The 21075-nt window shown below is 43.3% G+C and overlaps 1 protein-coding gene across 2 annotated transcripts in view, besides 3 other annotated features; it reads right to left on the bottom strand.

Moving 5' to 3' along the window:
• Nucleotides 1-368: 368 nt before the first annotated feature.
• GXYLT2 (glucoside xylosyltransferase 2) overlaps nt 369-21075 on the bottom strand; it is an 88870-nt gene continuing 68163 nt past the window's right edge. Inside the window, exons 5-7 of one of the 2 annotated variants that reach the window (NR_138564.2) lie at nt 19932-20050; nt 9565-9737; nt 369-2307 (exon numbers count right to left, since the gene is read on the bottom strand). Coding sequence is in view for 1 of the 2 variants with exons in the window: in NM_001080393.2 (NP_001073862.1) it covers nt 2125-2307; nt 9565-9737; nt 19932-20055 (480 nt within the window). In the remaining variant the exon portion in view is untranslated. Of the gene's footprint in view, nt 2308-9564; nt 9738-19931; nt 20056-21075 lie in introns of both variants that reach the window. The other variant, NM_001080393.2, reaches the window with a different exon arrangement.
• Nucleotides 6062-6191: a silencer, noted in NCBI's record as "silent region_14533". NCBI's record gives its function as "represses an Ori minimal core promoter by ATAC-STARR-seq in GM12878 lymphoblastoid cells {active_cell/tissue: GM12878}" and the evidence as "EXISTENCE:reporter gene assay evidence [ECO:0000049][PMID:35858748]".
• Nucleotides 19672-19966: a silencer, noted in NCBI's record as "tiled region #10271; K562 Repressive non-DNase unmatched - State 23:Low". NCBI's record gives its function as "represses a minimal TATA promoter and a strong SV40 promoter by Sharpr-MPRA in K562 cells {active_cell/tissue: K562}" and the evidence as "EXISTENCE:reporter gene assay evidence [ECO:0000049][PMID:27701403]".
• Nucleotides 19672-19966: an enhancer, noted in NCBI's record as "tiled region #10271; HepG2 Activating DNase matched - State 5:Enh". NCBI's record gives its function as "activates a minimal TATA promoter and a strong SV40 promoter by Sharpr-MPRA in HepG2 cells {active_cell/tissue: HepG2}" and the evidence as "EXISTENCE:reporter gene assay evidence [ECO:0000049][PMID:27701403]".

Below are 21075 nucleotides of genomic sequence, written 5' to 3'. Positions count from 1 at the left end.
TCACCTCTAGTGGTGAAATAAGGAAACAAAATATAACAGCAAAAATAAGAGTTTCCCGTCATAATGGTAGTTTCCTTAACAAAAATAACCACAGGGCAACTGATCAGAAGGAAAGTATTACTCTAAAATTTTAGATTTAAATTTGTTACTACTATAATAATGCTGCATACCAAAACTGATTGACATCTAAACATTTCTGTGTAGTGCTGAGATTTTCATATCTATTTTTTTTTCAGGGTAAGACTGACTTTTTTTTGCTAATATTGCGCCCATGATATCTTATTGGATTCTAATATATATAAGGATATCATATTTACATCAACAAGATAATATTTTTCTTTTTATACTTCCAGATCATTGTCTCTATATAACAAAAAGTATTTAATATTTTAATTTTCAAAAATGTCTCTGTAAATAAGATACATCTTACACAGACTGTATGTCTTACAGAATAGCAATTATATTCAATATGTTTATTTCTTTGTGTTACAATTTCCTTGTTTGCCTTATAGAGATGATTCAGGACCCTACCAAATCCACTAGGCTGTTGCAAATATCAAGATCATCTATGCAATAGTCATTTGAGAAAAATAAAGCATTATGCAAAATATTGCTATGCTGATACCAACTATATGAGCAACTAGGGATTAAGCCAGATCCCCGTGGGGAACAGAATATTCAACTTCCTCCTTGCAGTGAGGTGATAAAACCTGTATGGACCAGCTAGGTAACCCTAGGGGGAAAGAAATTGTTTAAAGAGACCTTTCTAAGGCTGGTAGGAAGTTGAATTTTCTTACCAATAGAAGCAGCTGAACTATTTGTTTTTTACACATTAAATTTGAAGTTGGTCTCTGATTTCCACCCATTGCCCAAGAGTTTAAGAAAGAGAGATGACCACAGCTACTGATGATTAACAGATCAAATGTTTTTGTCTGTGGTAAACACAAACATTCCTGAATTTCCTCTCAGAAGCTATTGTTGCATAGAAATGTATTATGATTTAGTCCTCCACAAATCAAAGTAATTTTTTTCTTTAGAAATACTCCCAGATTGGCTGAGTGCAGTGGCTCACACTTGTAATCCCAGCACTTTGGGAGGCTGAGGCAGGCAGATCACTTGAGGTCTGGAGATCAAGACCAGCCTGGCCAACATGGTAAAACCGTGTCTCTACTAAAAATACAAAAATTAGCCGGGTGTGGTGGCACACACTTGTAATCCCAGCTACTGGGGAGGCTGAGGCATGAGAATCACTTGAACCCAGGAGGTGGAAGCTGCAGTGAGCCGAGATCCTGCCACTGCATTCTAGCCTGGGCTACAGAGTGAGATTCCGTCTCAAAAAAAAAAAAAAAAAAAAAAAGAAAGAAAGAAAAAGAAGAAATACCCCCAGATACATGCTTCATCCTTTAACACTACCCAAGTATCTGAATGATTCTCTCAGATGTATTTTAAATAAAATTCTGTACACATAATCATCTCATCTAATATTTTAGTCTCCCACATAAAAATCTCAGCAAAAAGGCCAGCTTTTACTGAGATTACCTGTTTTAGATGTGTGTTAGAGTGGAAAATGCAAAAGTAGAGAAAAAAGGTTGTAAGGAACTGCTTTAAAATGGAAACAATCTTTTCCACTGGTCAATAGGATTATGGCTAATCTAATCTTGATGTTGAGCCCTTGACCCATATGCTCTACAAGTGTGTCTCTCTGTTTCAAAAGTGTGTATTACTTTTATAACACGGGTGTGGGGGAGTCAGTTGCATAGAAAGAGTCTCAGGAATGCTAGATCAATATAACACCTCAGGTGCCACTGAAATGGTCTCAGACGTTTAGGAATTAGAAGGCTCACAAAAGCTATTTTCACAGCTAGCTCAACCTGCTTAAACAATGTTAAATGAGTAATAGTCTTTTTTTTTTTTCCTTAGAGATAAATAGCATTTTAGAAAAAAAAATAAGGAAAAGCATATTCCCTTTTGGGGGCAACTGATTTGGCAAAATTTAACGAGGTTTTTAAAACTCAACAGTCATGGAGCACCATTAAATATTCACACAAAAAGACCCAGGCAGCTTAGAGATTAGTATTTCCTTGGTCACAAGACACCTAATTGACTTGCAACAAGACAAAATATTCAGTGCATCTGGTTGGGGCCAACATGGATGATGACGTGTTTCTCATAAGCCCTTTTCATTGTTTTCTCAATTTGCTTCAGAAAAACTTGCGGGATTCGTCCACATAAAGTGTGCACAGTCTCCAAAAACTTCAGCTGAAGGGGGTAATACATGGATTGAAAGAGATTGTCTTGAAAGGGAAACTGAAAGATGACAAAAAAAAAGTTTATTTAGTAACGGAAATGCCATTTTAAATGCAGATCATTTTTACTAAGAAATGACACAGGAATTACGATAAGCCCACAGGCACAGGTTTGGACAAGTGAAAAGACCTTTGAGGATCTAACTTAAAATCCTGTCTCAGCTGTGCAACCCCAGGTAATCATTTAAACTCTCCGAACCTCAGTTTCTTTACCTCTTTAAAAAGAAAAAGGCTAGGCATGGTGGCTTACACCTGTAACCCCAGCACTTTGAGAGGCCGAGGTGGGAGGACCACTTGAGCCCAGGAGTTTGAGACCAGCCTGAGCAACATGGCAAGACCCCATCTCATTAAAAAAGAATAGTAATAAAATTAAAAAAAAATTTGGGTCCTTAAGGGTCTTACAATCTAAAAATGATGCATGTCTCTAAGGACAGGAAAGTCCATATATCATAGCATGTTTACGCTGAGTAGAAGGAAGGCTCAAGATACTCACTTGAAATCTACTACAACAAAACAATGAATTCTTCATCTTTTTTGACCTTAATGAAGAAACTTTAGGGTATGTCTATGGTAATCTCGTGAAGTTCAGGGTTTAACAATTACTAGTAAAATTTATTGGCAATAAACCAGATTTTAATAATTCAGGTACCAAATATTAGTGGTTGTTTATTTCCCTCTTAATATTGGGCTTTTGAGATCATCACTGCCATTTTTTAAAATTCTTTTGTTTTCTTCATGGAATACGTCTATGAGCAGTATAACCCAAAATAAATCTTTCAGACCACTTAGTTACGCACATGTATCAAAGTTTTATTACAATCTTGTTGAAAGGGAAAAGTCTGGTAGTAGATCAAGTCAAAGATCCACTCTTGGTCAGGACATTTTATATGGAAAGACTAGTGAGAAATGAAAGAAGAATGGTTAAAGATCAGTACACTCTTGCCTAACAGGAGAGGTGGGTGTCTGGTTTCCTAGAACAAATGTTAATCCTTTAAAATTAATCAGAAATACTGCTTACACAGGTTTATCAGAGATGCCAGTTTCTTCTCGGAAGGAGATTATGCATTATGTAATGCAAGAAGGTTCTCTCCCAGACCAGGTTGGTTTGGGATACTTTTTCTTTAATCATGAAATTTAAATCATTGATAAACCCCTTGAAGCCAGTCCTGAATCTGTCCTTTTCACCACTGTAGCTCCAGTAATGGGAACAGGATAGGTCAAAACCTTGGAATCACCCTCAATTCCTCTCTTTCCCCCCACAACCCTCATCCAATTCATCAGCAAGTCCTGTAAACTCTATCTCAACAGCATATCCCAAATATGGCGACTTCTTCCCATTTCCTGCCACCACGCAAGCCCATGCTGGCCCCATTGCTCACCCAGGTGGCTGCGATTAGTCTCACAAATAAATAGCCTTTGTGTTTTCACTCTTGCATCCCTTCCACCACATTACCAAGGTGATATTTCTAAATCATAAATCAGAGCCTATCACTTTCCCGAAGGGGCTTTCCACTGCCATTAGAATGAGATTCCAACTCCTCCCTTGTTCTAAAGGTTCAAGGTGACCTGGAAACTCTCCCCTCTCAGTTCCTCCTCTCTCCTCTTATCTGGCCATTCCTGTCTTTCCAGCACACCAAATTCATTCCTGCCTCCGGGACTTTCCCCTGGTCATTCCTTCTGTTTCACGGGATTTTCCCCAGATTTCCCCTGGGCTGCCTCCATCTGATAAGTCTAGGACTTACAAGCAGCCTCCCTGGTGCCCCTCCCCCAGCTGGTAGAACACTCCTCTCCAGCCCAGGACTTTGGACCCATCAGCCCACTCTTTTTACACCTTTTGAACTCCTTTCACCTTTCACTATCTCAGAGGATTTTTTTTTCTTTTGAGATAGGGTCTTGCTGTGTCACCCAGGCTGGAGTACAGAGGGGCAATCACGGCTCACTGCAGCCTTGAACTCCTGGGCTCAAGTGATCCTCCATCTCAGCCTCACAATTAGCTGGGACCACAGGCACTTGCCATGACGCCCAGTTGTTACTATTTTTTTTCCTAAAGAGGCAAAGTCTTGCTCTGGCTGGAGTACAGTGGGGCCATCCTAGCTCACTGTAGCCTTGGCCTCCTAAGCTCAAGAGATCTTCCCACCCCAGCCCCAACCCCTCCCCACCCAGTAGCTGGGACTACCTGCATGTGCCACCAGGCTAATTTTTTTTTTTTTTTTTTAATTTTTGTAGAGACGCATCTCACTATGTCGCCCAGGCTGAATTTTTCTTTCTTTTTCTCAATCAGTATTGTCTGGCTTCCCCCACCAGAATATATGCTTCTTTTTTTTTTTTTTTTTTTCCGAGACAGAGTCTTGCTCTGTCACCCAGGCTGGACTGCAGTGGTGCGATCTTGGCTCACTGCAACTTCCACTTCCTGGGTTCAAGAAATTCTCCTGCCTCAGCCTCCTGAGTAGCTGGGATTACAGGTGCCTGCCACCACGCCCGGCTGATTTCTGTATTTTTAGTAGAGATGGGGTTTCACCATGTTGGCCAGGCTGGTCTCGAACTCATGACCTCAGGTGATCCACCTGCCTCGGTCTCCCAAAGTGCTGGGAGGTGTGACCCACTGCGCCCAGCTCAGAATATATGCTTCTTAAAGACTAGGGCTTTGTTCATCTTATTACCTTCCAAATTCCTAGAAACTAGAATTGTTCCTGCATAAAATAGATGCTTCATAAGTGACTGTCAAGAGAATTACTGCAAAAATGTCTATATGATAGATGCCTTCTTGTGGGGAGGCTGCACTGCCCTTTCACACAAACACGTACACACAAACACACAGGTTAGGATGTCTATGAGCACCTGAAACAGAGAGAGAAATAGAGAGAAAGAGAGAGAATATTTTCAGAGACAGATGAAGGGAGAAAAAGAAAAAGGTATATAGAGAGAAACTGTTTATAAGCAAGAAGAGAGAGAGAAATGTGAAAAAGCTAGAGAAAGTGTGAAATTGTTATCATCAAAACAACTTCCTTATATCTTTTTTTTTTTTTTTTTAGATGGAGTGTCACTCTGTCGCCCAGGCTGGAGTGCAGTGGCACGATCCTGGCTTGCTGTAACCTCTGCCTCCCGGTTTCAAGCCATTCTCCTACCTCAGCCTCCCAAGTAGCTGGGATTACAGGCATGCGCCACCACGCCCGGCTAATTTTCATGTTTTTAGTAGAGACAGGGTTTCGCCATTTTGGCCACGCTGTTCTCGAACTCCCGACCTCAAGTGATCCACCTGCCTCAGCCTCCCAAAGTGCTGGGATTACAGGTGTGAGCCACCGCACCTGGCCAAAACAACTTCTAATTATTGCACAAACTGTATGTCAGGCTCTGTACTAAAAGCATAAAGACTATCATTTTGTTGAATTTTCATAACACTTGTTTGAGGTAGATAATCTTATTATCTACACTTGACTGATGAAAAAACTGAGGCCCAGCAAGGTAAGGGCACAGTTAATGGCAAATCACCAGAAAGCGGCAAAATTGGGATTTGAACCTGTCTGTCCAGGCCCAAAGCCAAGCTCTGACCCACTACACAATGGTTCACAGCATTGTAGAGAATGGGGAAATACATCTTTTATGATGGAGTCTCTTTACATTTACTCACATTTTGGGTCAGGGTTAGTCATTTTTCTGATTGAAATGCCTGAATGAAAACTATATTTTCAGGCCCAACTGAGGAAAATCATGGAGTGTACTAAGCAGAATCATTTATGAAACAAAGTTGTTCAGCCCTCTTTCTGATCCCCCAGAAAACAAACAAGATGAGTTGCAACTCAAGAACCACAACTGCTCAACTCCAAACCAGGGGTGACAGATCACAAAAGAAACCCAAGAGTGGCTCTGATAGACACACGGCTGCTGTGTACTTATTTAACTTCTGCTCGTACTCCTGAATGAGTTTGCCCCTGGAGTCAGTGTTTGAATATTTAAATGTGAGGATATCATTAAGCACAGAACAAATTTTCTGCATAATTAAATCACCTGGCCTTTGAAAACCAAATAGCAGGAAATGCAGAAGGAAAAGCTTGGATGCATGCTAAACACTTTCCCTGTACAGAAGTCAACTCTAGAAATTGCTTTTTTCTTTTTTTGAGATGGAGTTTCACTCTTGTTGCCCAGGCTGGAGTGCAATGGCATGATCTTGGCTCACTGCAACCTCTGCTTCCCAGGTTCAAGTGATTCTCCTGCCTCAGCCACCCGAGTAGCTGGGATTACAGGCATGCGCCACAACGCCCAGCTAATTTTGTATTTTTAGTAGAGACGGGGGGATTTCTCCATGTTGGTCAGGCTGGTCTCGAACTCCCGACCTCAGGTGATCCACCCACCTCGGCCTCCCAAAGTGCTGGGATTACAGATGTGAGCCACCACGCTCAGCCAACTCTGCGAATTTCAGAGTTAGAATTCTCCAGGACTCTCCCTAGCAAATGCATACTTTCTTTTTTTCATTTATTTTCTTTTTTTTAATTTGTTTTTTCAGAGACAGGGTCTTACTATGTTGCCCAGGCTGGTCTTGAACTCCTCACCTCAGCCTCCAAAGTGCTGGGATTATAGGCGTGAGCTTCTGTACCGGGCCTATTTAATTAATTAATTAATTGGTTTTTTTGAGATGGAGTGTCGCTCTGTCACTCAGGCTGGAGTGTAGTAGTGCAATCAAGACTCACTGCAACCTCTGCCTCCCAGGTTCAAGCAATTCACCTGTCTCAGCCTCCCTAATAGCTGGGATTATAGGCGTGCACCACCATACCCGGCTAATTTTTGTATTTTTAGTAGAGATGGGGTTTTACCATGTTGGCCAGGCTGGTCTTGAATTCCTAACCTCAAGTGATCTGCCTGTCTCAGCCTCCCAATGTGCTAGGATTACAGGCATAAACCACCACACCAGGCCGATTTTATTTTTTTTTGAGATGGGGTCTCACTATGTTGGCTGCGCTGACCTCAAACTCCTGACCTCAAGCAATCCTCTCACTTCTTAGCCTCTTGAAGTGCTGGGATTACAGGCATGAGTCACTGTGCTGGGCCTTAAATGTTTTTGTTTTTTTTTTTTCAAATGCACATTTTCATACACAAAAAATTGTTACTATGTTACAGGATTTACCCCCTACCTCACTTCTACCAAAGCCTGTTCATGAAACTTAGAGAATTCGATCTTTAACAACAAAGCCTAATAAATTCTACATGTTTTATGTCAGGGGCTGGCTAACTTTTTCTGTAAAGGAGTAGATGGTAAATATTTTAGACTCTGTAGACCATATGTCCTTTGTCACAACTAATCATCCTGTTATTATAGTGCCAACATAACCATAGATAATACATAAATGGCCAGGCACGATGGCTCAGACCTGTAGTCCTAGCACTTTGTGAGGCTGGGATGGAAAGATCACTTGAGGCCAGGAGTTTGAAATCAGCCTGGGCAACAAAGCAAGATCCCATCTCCACCAAAAGAAAAATGACAATACATAAATGAATAGGTGTCACTGGTTCCCAATATGACTTTATTTACCAGTGCTGACATTTGAATTTCATATAGTTTTCTTCTGTCGTGAATTTTTTTTTTTTTTTTTGAGACAGGGTCTTGCTCTGTTGCCCAAGCTGGAGTGAAGTGGTGCAATCATAGCTCACTGCAGCCTTGAACTCCTGGGGTCAAGTGATCCTCCTGCTTCAGCCTCCCAAGTCACTCAGATTACAGCATGAGGCTTGCCTTATTTTTTAAATTTTTTGTACAGATGGGGTCTTACTATGTTGTAGTTTTCTTGAGAAAGTTGCATAAAGGGCTCCAGACAGCCATGTTCATACACATACCTGCATTCCCACCCTATTTTCTCCTCTCTTTTCCCATCCCTAGCCCACGAGTCCATAAAGAGGCAAGAACCTTCTTTTTTTTTTGAGATGGAGTCTTGCTCTGTCACCCAGGCTGGAGTGCAGTGGCGCCATCTCAGCTCCCTGCAAGCTCCGCCTCCTGGGTTCATGCCATTCTCCTGCCTCAGCCTCCCGAGTAGCTGGGACTACAGGCGCTCGCCACCACACCCAGCACCAAAAAAAAATTTTTTTTTTGTATTTTTTAGTAGAGATGGGGTTTCACCATGTTAGGAAAGTCTCGATCTCCTGACCTCGTGATCCGCCAACCTTGCCCTCCCAAAGTGCAGGGATTACAGGCATGAGCCACTGCGCCAAGCCTAATTTTTGTATTTTTAGTAGAGACAGGGTTTCACCATATTGGCCAGGCTGGTCTCGAACTCCTGACCTCGTGATCCACCTGCCTTGGCCTCCCCAAGTGCTGGGATTACAGGCATGAGCCACTGCATCCAGCCAAGAACCTTTTCTTCAGTGCCCCTTGGCAGTGAGAAGGTTCCTGCCATGTGTGCTGTATGCACTTGACTCTTATCTTGTACCCTTTGGTGGGGAAAAATGGAAGACTGGGGAGTCAGGGCCTCTTTCTGCTGCTTGCATGCACTTCTGCAGTTAAGCAAATAAAGGCTTGATTGTTACTTTTAGTTTGGCTCCTTGTTGTAACTGAACACCTTGACCCCTGATTGAGTAACAGATTGGAGTTGGCAACCAGGCAACGTATTTAGCTAGAACTGAGTAATATCATTTTCTTTTTATTGTCTAATCTTGATCCTATGTGTTACCTTACACTATGGCAAAAGGCACAGAAGTTGTCTTTGTGACATGAAATTTCCTCCTAAAGTAGGTGGCTCACACCTGTAATACCAACATTTTGGGAGGCTAAGGCAAGTGGATCACTTGAGGTCAGGAGTTCGAGACCAGCCTGGCCAACATGGTGAAACCCCATCTCTACTAAAAATACAAAAATTTGCCAGGCATGGCGGCGCGTGTCTGTAGTCCCAGCTACTTGGGAGGCTGAGGCAGGAAAATCACTTGAACCCAGGAGGTGGAGGTTGCAGTAAGCCAAGATCCCACCACTGCACTCCAGCCTGGGTAACAGAGCAAGACTCCATCTCAGAAAACAAAAACAAAAAACAGAAATTTCCTCCTAAAGTAAATTTGGTTAAGTAAAAGATAATGAATGGTGTACGTGGAAATAAGTCAAGTAGATATGACATAGTACAAGGTGGCAAGAGGATATAGTGACAGAGCGTGACTGAGGTCGGGAATAACTGGTATAACTCTATGCTTTGGGAATATTTGGCCTTCAAAGGGACAGGTGACTAAAGCGCCAATATTGCTTCATGCTGATAAGCACATCTGCTAACAGCAGCAAGGGCACACTTACATCCCGTATTGCTTCATAGAGTGCTCTGAACGTTGGTTGCTTATCGTCATGGTAGACGCCTCGGTTTCCATGCAGAACAGACACACCTTCATGCTCAGCCTCTCTGCAGTTGCTTCCGTACATGCAGTGATCGGGACGGTAGTTCCACTGGCAGGGGAATACATAGAGACACTCTGGTGGTAAAAAGAGAAAGACATATATGTCCACGGTTAGTGCCAGCTCTCATGCACATGTGGCACGATTAAACTGTTTCCACTAACTGTACACAGCATGTAATTTCAAAGTACAGGAGTGTGATTTTTTACTCATAGATCAAATTTTGCCCCATTTGTCAAAATTCTGAGATCAAGAATTGAAGGGGCACACAGTGATGATGTAGGTTTCATCCAAAAAAAGAAGAGAGTGTTGCATCTTAAATAAGAAAGCAAACACAGGCACGAGGCAGCCTGGGTCCAAATCTCAACTCTCTCACTCAAAACCACTGAAATCCATGTCTAGTCACTTAACTTCCTGTACTTCTGTTTTCTCATCTGTAAATGGGAATAATACAACCTCTATCTTATTTTGATGATTAAACTTTAAACATACATGTAAAATGATTAGCAGGGTATCAAACATACAGTAGTGGTTCAATAATGTTAGCAGTTGCACTGGCTGGGTGTGGTGGCTCACACCTGTAATCCCAGAGTTTGGGAGGCCAAGGTGGAAGGATCACTTGAGGTCAGGAGTTTGAGAACAGCTTGGGCAACATAGCAAGACCCCTGTCTCCATACAAATTTTAAAAATTAGCAGCTGGGCCAGGCATGGTGGCTCACGCCTGTAATCCCAGCACTTTGGGAGGCCAAGGCAGGCAAATCACCTGAGGTCAGGAGTTTGAGATCAGTCTGGCCAACATGGCGAAACCTGTCTCTACTAAAAATACAAAAATTAGCCAGCCATGGTGGCACGCACCTGTAATCCCACCTACTTGGGAGGCTGAGGCGGGAGAATAGCCAGGAGGTGGCAGAGGTTGCAGTGATCCAAGATCGCACCACTACACTCCACCCTGAGCAACAAAATAAGACTGTCTCAAAACAAAAAAAAACGAACAAACCAAAAAAATTACAAAAATAAATTAGCCAGGCATGGTGGCACACTTGAAGCTACTTGGCAGGATTCCTTGAGCCCAGGAGTTAGAGGTTACAGTGAGCTATGATCATGCCACTGCACTCTAGCCTGTGACGGAGTGAGATCCTGTATCAAAAAAAAAAAAAAAAAAAAAGATACACACAAAAAAATGTCAAAAATAGTGTTAGCAGTTGTAATCAACTCTTTGGAAAGGTTTTATAAAATGGACAGAACTAAAAAAGAGGAGTCAAGATTAAAGTAAAGATTCTGCTTCAGATTAAGAACAAACAAAAAACCAAAGAAAAAAAAAAAAACAGCAAAAACCCCCACCTTCGGCTGGGTACAGTGGCTCACACCTGTAATCCCAGCACTTTGGAAGGCTGAGGTTGGTGGATAACTTGAGGTCAGGAGTTCGAGACCAACCTGACCAACATGATGAAACCCTGTCTCTACTAAAAATACAAACATTAGCCAGGCATGGAGGCAGGAGCCTGTAAACCCAGCTACTCAGGAGGCTGAGGCACGAGAATCTAGAACCCGGAAGGCAGGGGTTGCAGTGAGCTGAGATCACACACTGCACTCCAGCCTGGGTGACGGAGTAAGACTCCATCTCAAAAACAAAAACCAACACAACAAAAAAACCCCACCTACAACAGGAAAGAGAAAAACCCCAAAGCAAAAAGCAAAGAAAAAAAAGCCCTGTGCCAAGGTAACTATATGCACCATGGCCATATGTGCACATATGTACACAGGTGTGTTTGTATCTCTAAACCCTGGTTGGTTCTCAACCAGGGGCAATTTTGCCCCCTCCCTACTCCTCTACCCCAGGGCCATTTGGCAATATTTGGAGGGAAACACTGTTGACTGTTATACATGGGGGAGGCTGCTACTGGCATCTAGTGGGTGCTCTGAACATCCTATAATGAACAGGACAGTCCCCAACAATAGCAATAGTGCTGATGTTGAGAAACTCTGCCCTAATCCTATTGGATTCAGAAAATTTCCTCTTGGTGACCAGAATTATACAATTAGCAATAAATTCATGACCCCCTAGCTTCCTGGCTTCTCGGCTTGATGCTTTTCAGGGTTGGGGGCAGAGGAGTATGGATCAAAGCTCTCTGCAAATGTGTGTTGCTGATCATGAGAAAGACCCTGTGAGAGAGCACAAGAGAGGATTACAGCAAATCAGTAACACCACCACCATTGGAAAAGCAACTTCAAGATGTGCTTGTTCATTGGGTTGATGGCATTCCTGTCTCACAGAAAAAAATCATTGCTTAGTGATTACTTACAGAAAGCTTCAAGATGGAAAGCAAATAATGAAGTGATTGTCACCCATCCCATCTGGCAGGCTGTGTATGTTTTCAGGGCTCAGTCTTTTATAGGACAGTGACATTTAGGCATCCTTTATCAAATTTCTAATTGCTCATAACACACTGTGACATTTCTCTTTTCTCAGGAGAACTCCATTCCACCATGACATTCCCTTACTTGCATTTACCTGAACATTTGCACATACATAGTCCCTAAGTGGGATGGAGTAGTGGCCATCCTCAAGTCACCCTATATAGATTTGAATCACAACTCCTCTATTAGCTGCCTGACCTTTCTGCAATTTAATGCAGAGGCTGGATGTGAGGATTAAATAAAGGAAAATATCTAAAAGTGCTTTTGAACTGTGCCTGGCCACACCCAACTGCTTCCTTTTGTCACCCAATGGGTCATATCACTCATTAATGATGCTCACCCAAGCATTTACATTGTCTTGTTTAAGCACCTTCTAAAGTTTCCAGTTGAATAAACTGTGCTTGAGTCTGTTTTTGTAAACACACTGATTGATTGAATCAATGACTATTTGTTGAGTGTCTGCTGTGTGCACTGTGGACAAATAATAGAAAAATCCAGTCCCTGCTTTCATGGAGTTTAGATTAGTGATGAGAGTTTTTGCCTCTTTCCAAGTAGTTTAGGGCTTACAAAAAGAAACCTTTTCTCGGCTGGGTGCAATGGCTCACGCCTGTAATCCCAGCACTTTGGGAGGCCAAGGCGGGCGGATCACGAGGTCAGGAGTTCGAGACCAGCCTGGCCAACATGGTGAAACCCCACCTCTACTAAAAATACAAAAATTAGCCAGGCATGATGGCATGTGCCTGTAGTCCCAGCTACTCGGGGGGCTGAGGCAGGAGAATTGTTTGAACCTGGGAGGTGGAGGTTGTGGTGAGCCGAGATCGCACCACTGCACTCCAGCCCGAACGACAAAGCAAGACTCTGTCTCAAAAAAAAGAAAAGAAAAAAAAAGAGAGAAACCTTTTCTCTCTTTGCAACCTCCTTAGAGGACTGAGCCCAGTGAGGGGCACTCCAAGGCAGAAAACAAACAGAAAGGGCAAAGACTCTGGAATCAGAAGTGCAGAGGTGTAAATCTGGCTTCTACCCCCATCTAGCTCTATAATCGTGGTAAGTTAGAAAAACATTTCACCTCGATTTAACAGCAGTAAAGAGAAGCCAAGGCCGGGCATGGTGGCTCATGCCTATAATCCCAGCACTTTGGGAGGCCAAGGTGGGAGGATTGCTTTAGCTCAGGAGTTTGAGACCAGCCTGGGCAACACAGCGAGACTCCCGTCTCTACAAAATTAAAAAATTTGTCCGGGTATGGTGGCTCACGCCTGTAATCCCAGCACTTTGGGACGCCAAGGCAGGTAGATCACCTGAGGTCGGGAGTTCGAGACCAGCCTGACCAACATGGAGAAACCCTGTCTCTACTAAAAATACAAAAAAATTAGCTGGGCGTGGTGGCACATGACTGTAATTGCAGCTACTTGGGAGGGTGAGGCAGGAAAATTGCTTGGACCTGGGAGGCAGAGGTTGCGGTGAGCCAAGATCGTGCCATTGCCCTCCAGCCTGGGCAACAACAGTGAAACTCTTGTCTCAAAAAAAAAAAAAAAAAAATTAGCTAGGCATGGTGGTACACACCTGTAATCCCAGCTACTCAGGAGGCTAAGGCAGGAGACTCACTTGAGCCCAGGATGTGGAGGTTGCATTGAGCCAAGATTGTGCCACTGCACTCCAGCCTGGGCAACAGGGTGAGACTCTGTCTCAAAAAAAAAAAAACAAAAAACTCCGGACCTCAGGTGATCTGCCTGCCTCGGCCTCCCAAAGTGCTGGTATTACAGGCCTCTACTGTGCCCAGCCAGAGTTTCGTATTTTTAGTAGAAACAGGGTTTCGCCATGTTGGCCAGGCTGGTCTCGAACTCCTTATCTCAAGTAATCTGCCCGCCTCAGCCTCCCAGTGCTGGGATTACAGGTGTCAGCCACTGTGCCCAGCCTACTCCTCTCCTTATATTTCTGATTATTTCATACTCTTGGGATCTCTAAGATTATGAACTAGTTTATGCCTGATCATTTTAACTTCATGGTAATACAGGCTTGCTACATTTTTATTTTTATTTTTTATGTATTTTTATTTTTTAGTAGAGATGGGGTCTTGCCACGTTGCCCAGGCTGGTCTTGGACTCCTGGCCTCAAGCAATACTCCCTGCTCAGCCTCCTAAAGCGTTGAGATTACAGGCATAAGCTCCCACACCCGGCCTCGCTTAATACTCTGTATCAATAGAACGGAGGCTGTTCAACTGCTCTGCTAATAGTTTTTTTGTTTTTTTTTTTTAATGTCCCATCCTGGAACTGAGATTTCCTAGCATTCTCTTTTTCCTTATTTCAGAATGCTCCTTGTTCCAAAAAAGGCAATTACTTTTTTTGAGAAGGCTTTTCTGATCACACAATCTAAGGAAGCTCTTCTCTCTCCAGCCTTGAGGGTCTCTCTCTCAACCCCTCATTTGTTTCCTCCATCTCATTTATCACAATTTGTGATTTTGAACAACTAGTTATTCTTTAGGAGTCTACCTTCTACCTCCTCCAACAAAAGGTAGGCTTCATGAAACCAGTAACTTTGTTTAACTCATCTGTTGCCATATTCCTGGGACCTAGCCCTGTGGCTGGCACATAGTGCTCAAAAACTAGTGCTGAATGAATGAATGAAATGCAACTTATACCTCCTTTCACCAAATGCATCTTTTCCCTTTCTCCAGCTTTCTATCTCCTTTCTCTCCTGAACTTCTCTTTTCTCTCATTTTCCTTGCTGTGGCTCTTTCTCTTCCATTTATTAATACTTTTCCCCTTCACTCCCTTCTCTTAATTCCATTCATTCAACCAAACAACACTTCTGAACACCAACTCCATTTAAAGCACTGAGCCTTGCACTGTGAAAGACACAAAGTTGACACAACCCCTTCTCACACAGACCATACAATTTTTATCCTTTTCTCTTGCGTTTTACATCAGGGCTCATGAACTTCCTAGACTCCTGAAACAGTGATTTGTTACCAGTTTCCTAGAACAGTCCCAATATGAAATAACTGGGCTTGTCAATCCCACAATGCAGCACTCATAACTGCCTGTTGCTGGGTGCTTTGGTGTGGTGAATATACAGTGTGGTTGCACGCTCAAGGGCAGGGCTCCAGTGACCCCAGGCAGGATGAGAATAAGGCCCTCCTGGAGCCATTGAAGAGACTTGTCCCATGTGAGTGAGTCCTGCTCCTTGAGGTTCCCATGAACTCCTCCTGCCTCCCTAGTATCACACACTTGACTCACAATCTACGTGTACTCCATGGGCATTTCAGCTCTTCTCTCTTCCCTCAGGCAGAATTCTGCCTCTACGCTAGCCTGATGCCCTGCCTTATCACTTATACTTGGCTGGTTTCATTTTCTTCCCTACCCACATCTCAGTTTTCTAGAAATTGCCCTTGTAGAAGGAGCAGACCTATGTGGTCACGTTTGAGAGAGGAAAATGCCTCATGACTTTGCCCTTCTAGAGCCTGATCAAGGGTGGTCTCCCAAATTAAAGAGAATTCAGTCGCAGCTGGGCTGGGCCAGTCTCTCTCTCTCTCTTTTTTTTTTTTTTTTGCTAAGAATTCAAATTAGGAAACAGAGGAGATCCATCATCATTGATTGTGGACTTGTGAAAATGTATTCACTTGGGGTTGACAATCAGGTTGGGCCATGGGCAAACAGAGAATGTGGTCTGAGAGACAGAATAGAATCAGACTGGCACGGAGAGAAGCAAAGATCACAGAAACCATGAGGCCTCTGAGAGATGAAGAAACTACTTTGGTCCTTGGCAACTTCCCAAGGCCAGTTCTCATGAAGCCTGGCTTGATTTGACTCGTGTGATCATGAGACTGCCCCTGGCCTCTTACAGTATCTGCCCTCACTTAGCTGGCCTGAGTGGAGCTGTGTTCCCTGAAACCTAAGTGCATTCATCTAAACACATCTTCCTATATAGAATTCTCTTTTGGTTCCTGTCAGATTTATCCCTTCTATAGAACTCTGCTCTTGACTCAGACTCACCTTTAAGAGTGTGAACTCAGTTTTCCACCCCTTGATGAAGCTGCGTTGGCTCACCTGCCAGGAAATGTCCTGTGAACTGTCCTGAAAGCCCCCACGCGTTTCAGCTATCTCAAGTCAGTCTATTACCCAGCACTGCAATTATGCACCCACAGGCATTTACTATCTAATTATAGCAAGAGTTTTAAAACACTTTCTAGCTAATGACTTTTAAACACATTTTAAAAAGCGGTGTTATCAGATACAAGACACTATAATAATGACAACATTTCCTGATGTGTGCTACAGGTTTTATGTGCATTGGTTCACCCATGGCAACCTGAAGAACCATAACAATAAACATGTTTATCTGCTGTGCCGTGGCCAATACTGTCTCCCTCTCTCCTTTCCAGGGATAAAGGTGACAAATCTTTTTTTCAAATACAGTTTGTTCTGGTTTGTGGAAAGTACTCTGCAATCAATATACATGAAGAGAAACCTTACAATGTGATAGATATTGCTGGATCTCAGTTCAAAGATCCCATGTTTAATCAAGTACCTGGGTAAAGTATGAAATAGGAAGATCAAATGCAGGCTGTACGAAGGACAGTCAGGGAGTTAACCTAACAATCACTCATCTAAAACCAGAAAACTTGGTTATTTACTTGATACTGTGCAGAACCAGGATTTAGAACAACGTCACGATTATTTTCCAATATCCTGTTTTACTCAATGGATCTCAGATGGAGAGTGAAGAAGCAATTAAACTCCTCTGGTTTCAGCCCCAGTTAAAGACAAGGGACTCCTGTTTAATTGCAAAGCTGCTTACGACTGCCTTCGGGTATTATTTATTTACTCACTAATCACATCCTCAAATAATCAGCAACAGGCTAAGAGGAACTGGGGAGGCAACTGTGTGAATCTTTTGGATTCCTCAATTTGGGAATATGGACAGGGAGACTTAAATTAGATCGTTTTGGCCACATGACAAAGAGGAAAATGCAGTATTTAAAGAAAAGGGCCGGGTGTGGTGGCTCACGCCTATAATCCCTCAAGTGATCCACCAGGAGGATCAAAAAATTACCTGGGCATGGTGGCGGATGCCTATAATACAAAAATTACAAAAATTAGCTGGGTGTGGTGGCAGGTGCCTGTAATCCCAGCTGCTCGGGAGGCTGAGGCAGAAGAATCGCTTGAACCCAGGAGGCAGAGGTTGCAGTGAGCCGAGATCGTGCCACCACACTCCAGCCTGGGTGACAGAGTGAGATTCCGTCTCAAAACAAACAAACAAACAAACAAACACAAAACCGGTCATGGTGGCTCATGCCTGTAATCCCAGCATTTTAGGAGGCCAAGGAGGGTGGATCACCTGAGGTCAGGAGTTCGAGACCAGCCTGGCCAACATGGCGAAACCCTGTCTCTACTAAAAGCACAAAAATTAGCCAGGGGTGATGGTGCATGCCTGTAGTCCCAGCTACTTGGGAGGCTGAGATAGGAGAATTGCTTGAACCTGGGGGGCAGAGATTGCAGTCAGACGAGATGGTGCCATTGCACTCCAGCCTGGGTGACAGAGCCAGATTCCATCTCAAGAAAAAAAAAAGATGAAACCTACCTAAGAAGAAAAAGGAAGAGATGCAGACCTACTGTCACAGTGAAATGGATTAAGGCATGAACTAAGAGGCTGGGCCTGGTTACTCATGCCTGAAATCCCAGCACTTTGGGAGGCCGAGGCCGGAAGATCGCTTGAGCCCAGGAGTTCCAGATGACCTTGGGCAACATAATGAGACTGCCCCCCAATCTCTATAAAAAATTAAAAAAATTTGGCTGGGTACAGTGGCTGATGCCTGTAATCCCAACACTTTGGGAGGCCGAGGCAGGTGGATCACATGAGGTCAGGAGTTTGAGACCAGCCTGGCCAACATGGTGAAATACTGTCTCTACTAAATATACAAAAATTAGTTGGGTGTGGTGTTGGGTGCCTGTAATCCCAGCTACTCGGGAGGCTGAGGCAGAAGAATTGCTCAAACCTGGGAGGCAGAAGTTACAGTGAGCCGAGATCATGCCACTGCACTCCAGCCTAGGTGACAGAGCAAGACTCCCTCTCAAAAAAAAAAAAAAAAAAAAAAAAAAAAAGCTGGGTGTGGTGATGCACACCTATAGTCCCAGCTACTTGGGAGGCTGAGGTGGGAGGATCACTTGAGCCCAGGAGGTCAAGGCTACAGTGAGCCATAATTGCACCACTGCACACCAGCCTGCAAGACAGAGTGAAACTTCATCTCATTAAGAAAAAAAAAAAAGAAAAAAAAATACCTGGGCACCGTGGCTGATGCCTACAATCCCAGCACTTTGGGAGGAGGAGGTGGGCAGATCACCTGAGGTCAGGAGCTCGAGACCAGCCTGGCCAACATGGGGAAACCCCATCTCTACTAAAAATACAAAAATCAGCCAGGCATAGTGGCACACTCCTGTAATCTCCGCTACTTGGGAGGCTGAGGCAGAAGAATTACCGGAACCCAGGAGGCAGAGATTGCAGTGAGCTGAGATTGTGTCACTGCACTCCAGCCTGGGCGACAGAGCCAGACTCTGTCCCAAAAAAAAAAAAAAAAAAAAGCCACAAGTGAACAGCTAAGACATTCCCCTTTCCTCTACTAAATTGGTATTGGGAATCTTTCCAAGAAACTCTGTATCAACCTGCTTTTTTTTCTTTTCGAGGATTTGATCCTTTTTGATCCAAAGACATATGAAATTGAGTTTTATTCCAGAATTTTTTTTAAAAAGGTACACAATATGTGTTCCAAGGGTGACATACAAACAAACACAGGCAAAGTCTTTCTGAACAGCAGTCTCTACTTCAGGATTTTTAAATCAAAAGGAAAGGCCTGAAAAGGGTAGGGTAAGGATTGCTTTTTTTGCCCAAAGATCTCTCTCAAGAAGAAAACATAGTTTTAATTTTTTTTTTTTTTTTTTGAGACAGAGTCTCGCTCTGTTGCCCAGGCTGGAGTGCAGTGGAGCAATCTTGGCTCACTGCAACCTCCACTTCCCGGGTTCAAGTGATTCTCCTGCCTCAGCCTCCCAGTAGCTGGGATTACAGGTGCCTACCACCACATCTGGCTAATTTTTTTTGTATTTTTAGTAGAGATGGGATTTCACCATGTTGGGTAGGCTGGTCTCAAACTCTCGACCTCAAGTGATCCGCCCAACTTGGCCTCCCAAAGTGCTGGGATTACAGGTGTGAGCCACTGTGCCTGGGAGTTTTAATTTTTAATAAGAATAAAGTTTTAACAAGGAAGAGGAAAAAAGAATTTTATTAGCTTTACGTGTTAATATAAACACACAGACCAGAAATGTTCATCTCCCTTTTTCCCTCTACCCCACCAAATCATCCACCTAACAATATAAGAAGAATTTCTTTTGCCTCAGATGAAAAGCAAAACGGATTTGGGGATCTGAGTTCTTTTTCTAGGATGTTTTGACCCTGAATATGTTCCTGAACTCCAAGGACCCTGAGAATCAATTCCCTTCAATCTAGCAATTGTTCAGGCTACAGGGTCTCCCGCCTAGATTATAATATTTCCATTTAGTTTCACGCCTCACATCAATTTTAACTGCACTTCTTAGAAGAATGGTATAGCAAAACCTAAAAGATACTCTCTAAAAATGAGTCCAGTGTTGGAAGTTTCAACATTTGGCCTTTTGTGTCAGTAGTGCAAGGCCCCGCCTCCATCAGATACCCAGGGGGGCGGATGAAAGGGCAAACTTCGCTGGGGAACACAGGCTCCTCTGTGCACAATTCAAGCCTAGTCAATAGCAACCCGGGCATGGAATGTGCTCCGTGGGGTGTGCTGAGTGTACTCCTACACAAAAGGCATTCTCCAAAGATAACCTACCTGGGTTGAAATAAAAAATAATATTTAATAAATCCTGGTCTCCCCACGTGATGGCATTCTTGTACTTCTGGTACAGAGGGTACAACATGTCCTCCCAAGCCAGGCCTGTTGGAATCATGCTGTTCTGGAAAAAAGAAAACCATCAGAACAGCTGAAGCAAAGCAAATACATTTTGTCCACTGAGAAACAATGTAAAGGGACTAGTTTTCTTCCCTTCAGAGGAGGGAAACAAATACAGGAGGGGTCCTGCTATTCTCAGGTCACAGAACAAAGCAAAATTTGGGCTGTTGATTGTATCGCTTTTTTCAGCTGTACACACGGATACTAGATAGACCAGGGACTGAAAGTTGAACCTATGGTTTCTACTCAGAAAACCATGCCTGGAATTGAACCCCTTCCTTTCTTCTCTTCCCTCCCTCCCTCCCTCCCTTCCTTCCTGTGTTTTTGTTTTTGTTTTTGTTTTGAGACAGAGTCTTGCTCTGTCGCCCAGGCTGGCATGCAGTGGCACAATCTTGGCTTACTGCAACCTCCACCTCCCGGGTTCAAGCGATTCTCGTGCCTCAGCCTCCCAGGCAGCTGAGACTACGGGTGCACGCCATCACGCCCGGCTAACTTTTTGTATTTTTAGTAGAGATGGGGTTTCCCCCTGTTGGCGAGGCTGATATCAAACTCCTGACCTCGAGTGACCCACCTCCCTCCCAAAGTGCTGGGATTATAGGCGTGAGTCCCCACACCTAAGAGGCGAAGTCTTTCTCAACAGCAGTCTCTACTTCAGGATTCTCTACTCTACTTCACCTTTCTTAGGTGAACATCTTTCTTAGGCTTATTTCCTCACTGTGAGGTGAAGGAACAAAATACAGATAACAGAGTTCAGGTATCTTAAGGAAAAACACCTTTCCTTGTCTTAAACAATGATTTACTTTTAAAATAAAAGTAACATATTCACAGACTGAATTATTCAAACAGCACACAAAAATATAAAATAAAAAAGTAAAAATATTCTTCTTCCATATCCCATTCCCATTTTCCCCAGACGTATCCACAGTTAACAATTAATGGTCTCTTAGGTATTCTTCTGGACATGTCTTTTTCTTTCTTTCTTTCTTTTTTTAGAGACAGGGTCTCACTCTGTTGTTTAGGGTGA

This window comes from Homo sapiens, chromosome 3, assembly GCF_000001405.40.
Source record: "Homo sapiens chromosome 3, GRCh38.p14 Primary Assembly".
NCBI lineage: Eukaryota > Metazoa > Chordata > Mammalia > Primates > Hominidae > Homo > Homo sapiens.
This window is presented reverse-complemented; position numbering and strand designations above follow the sequence as displayed.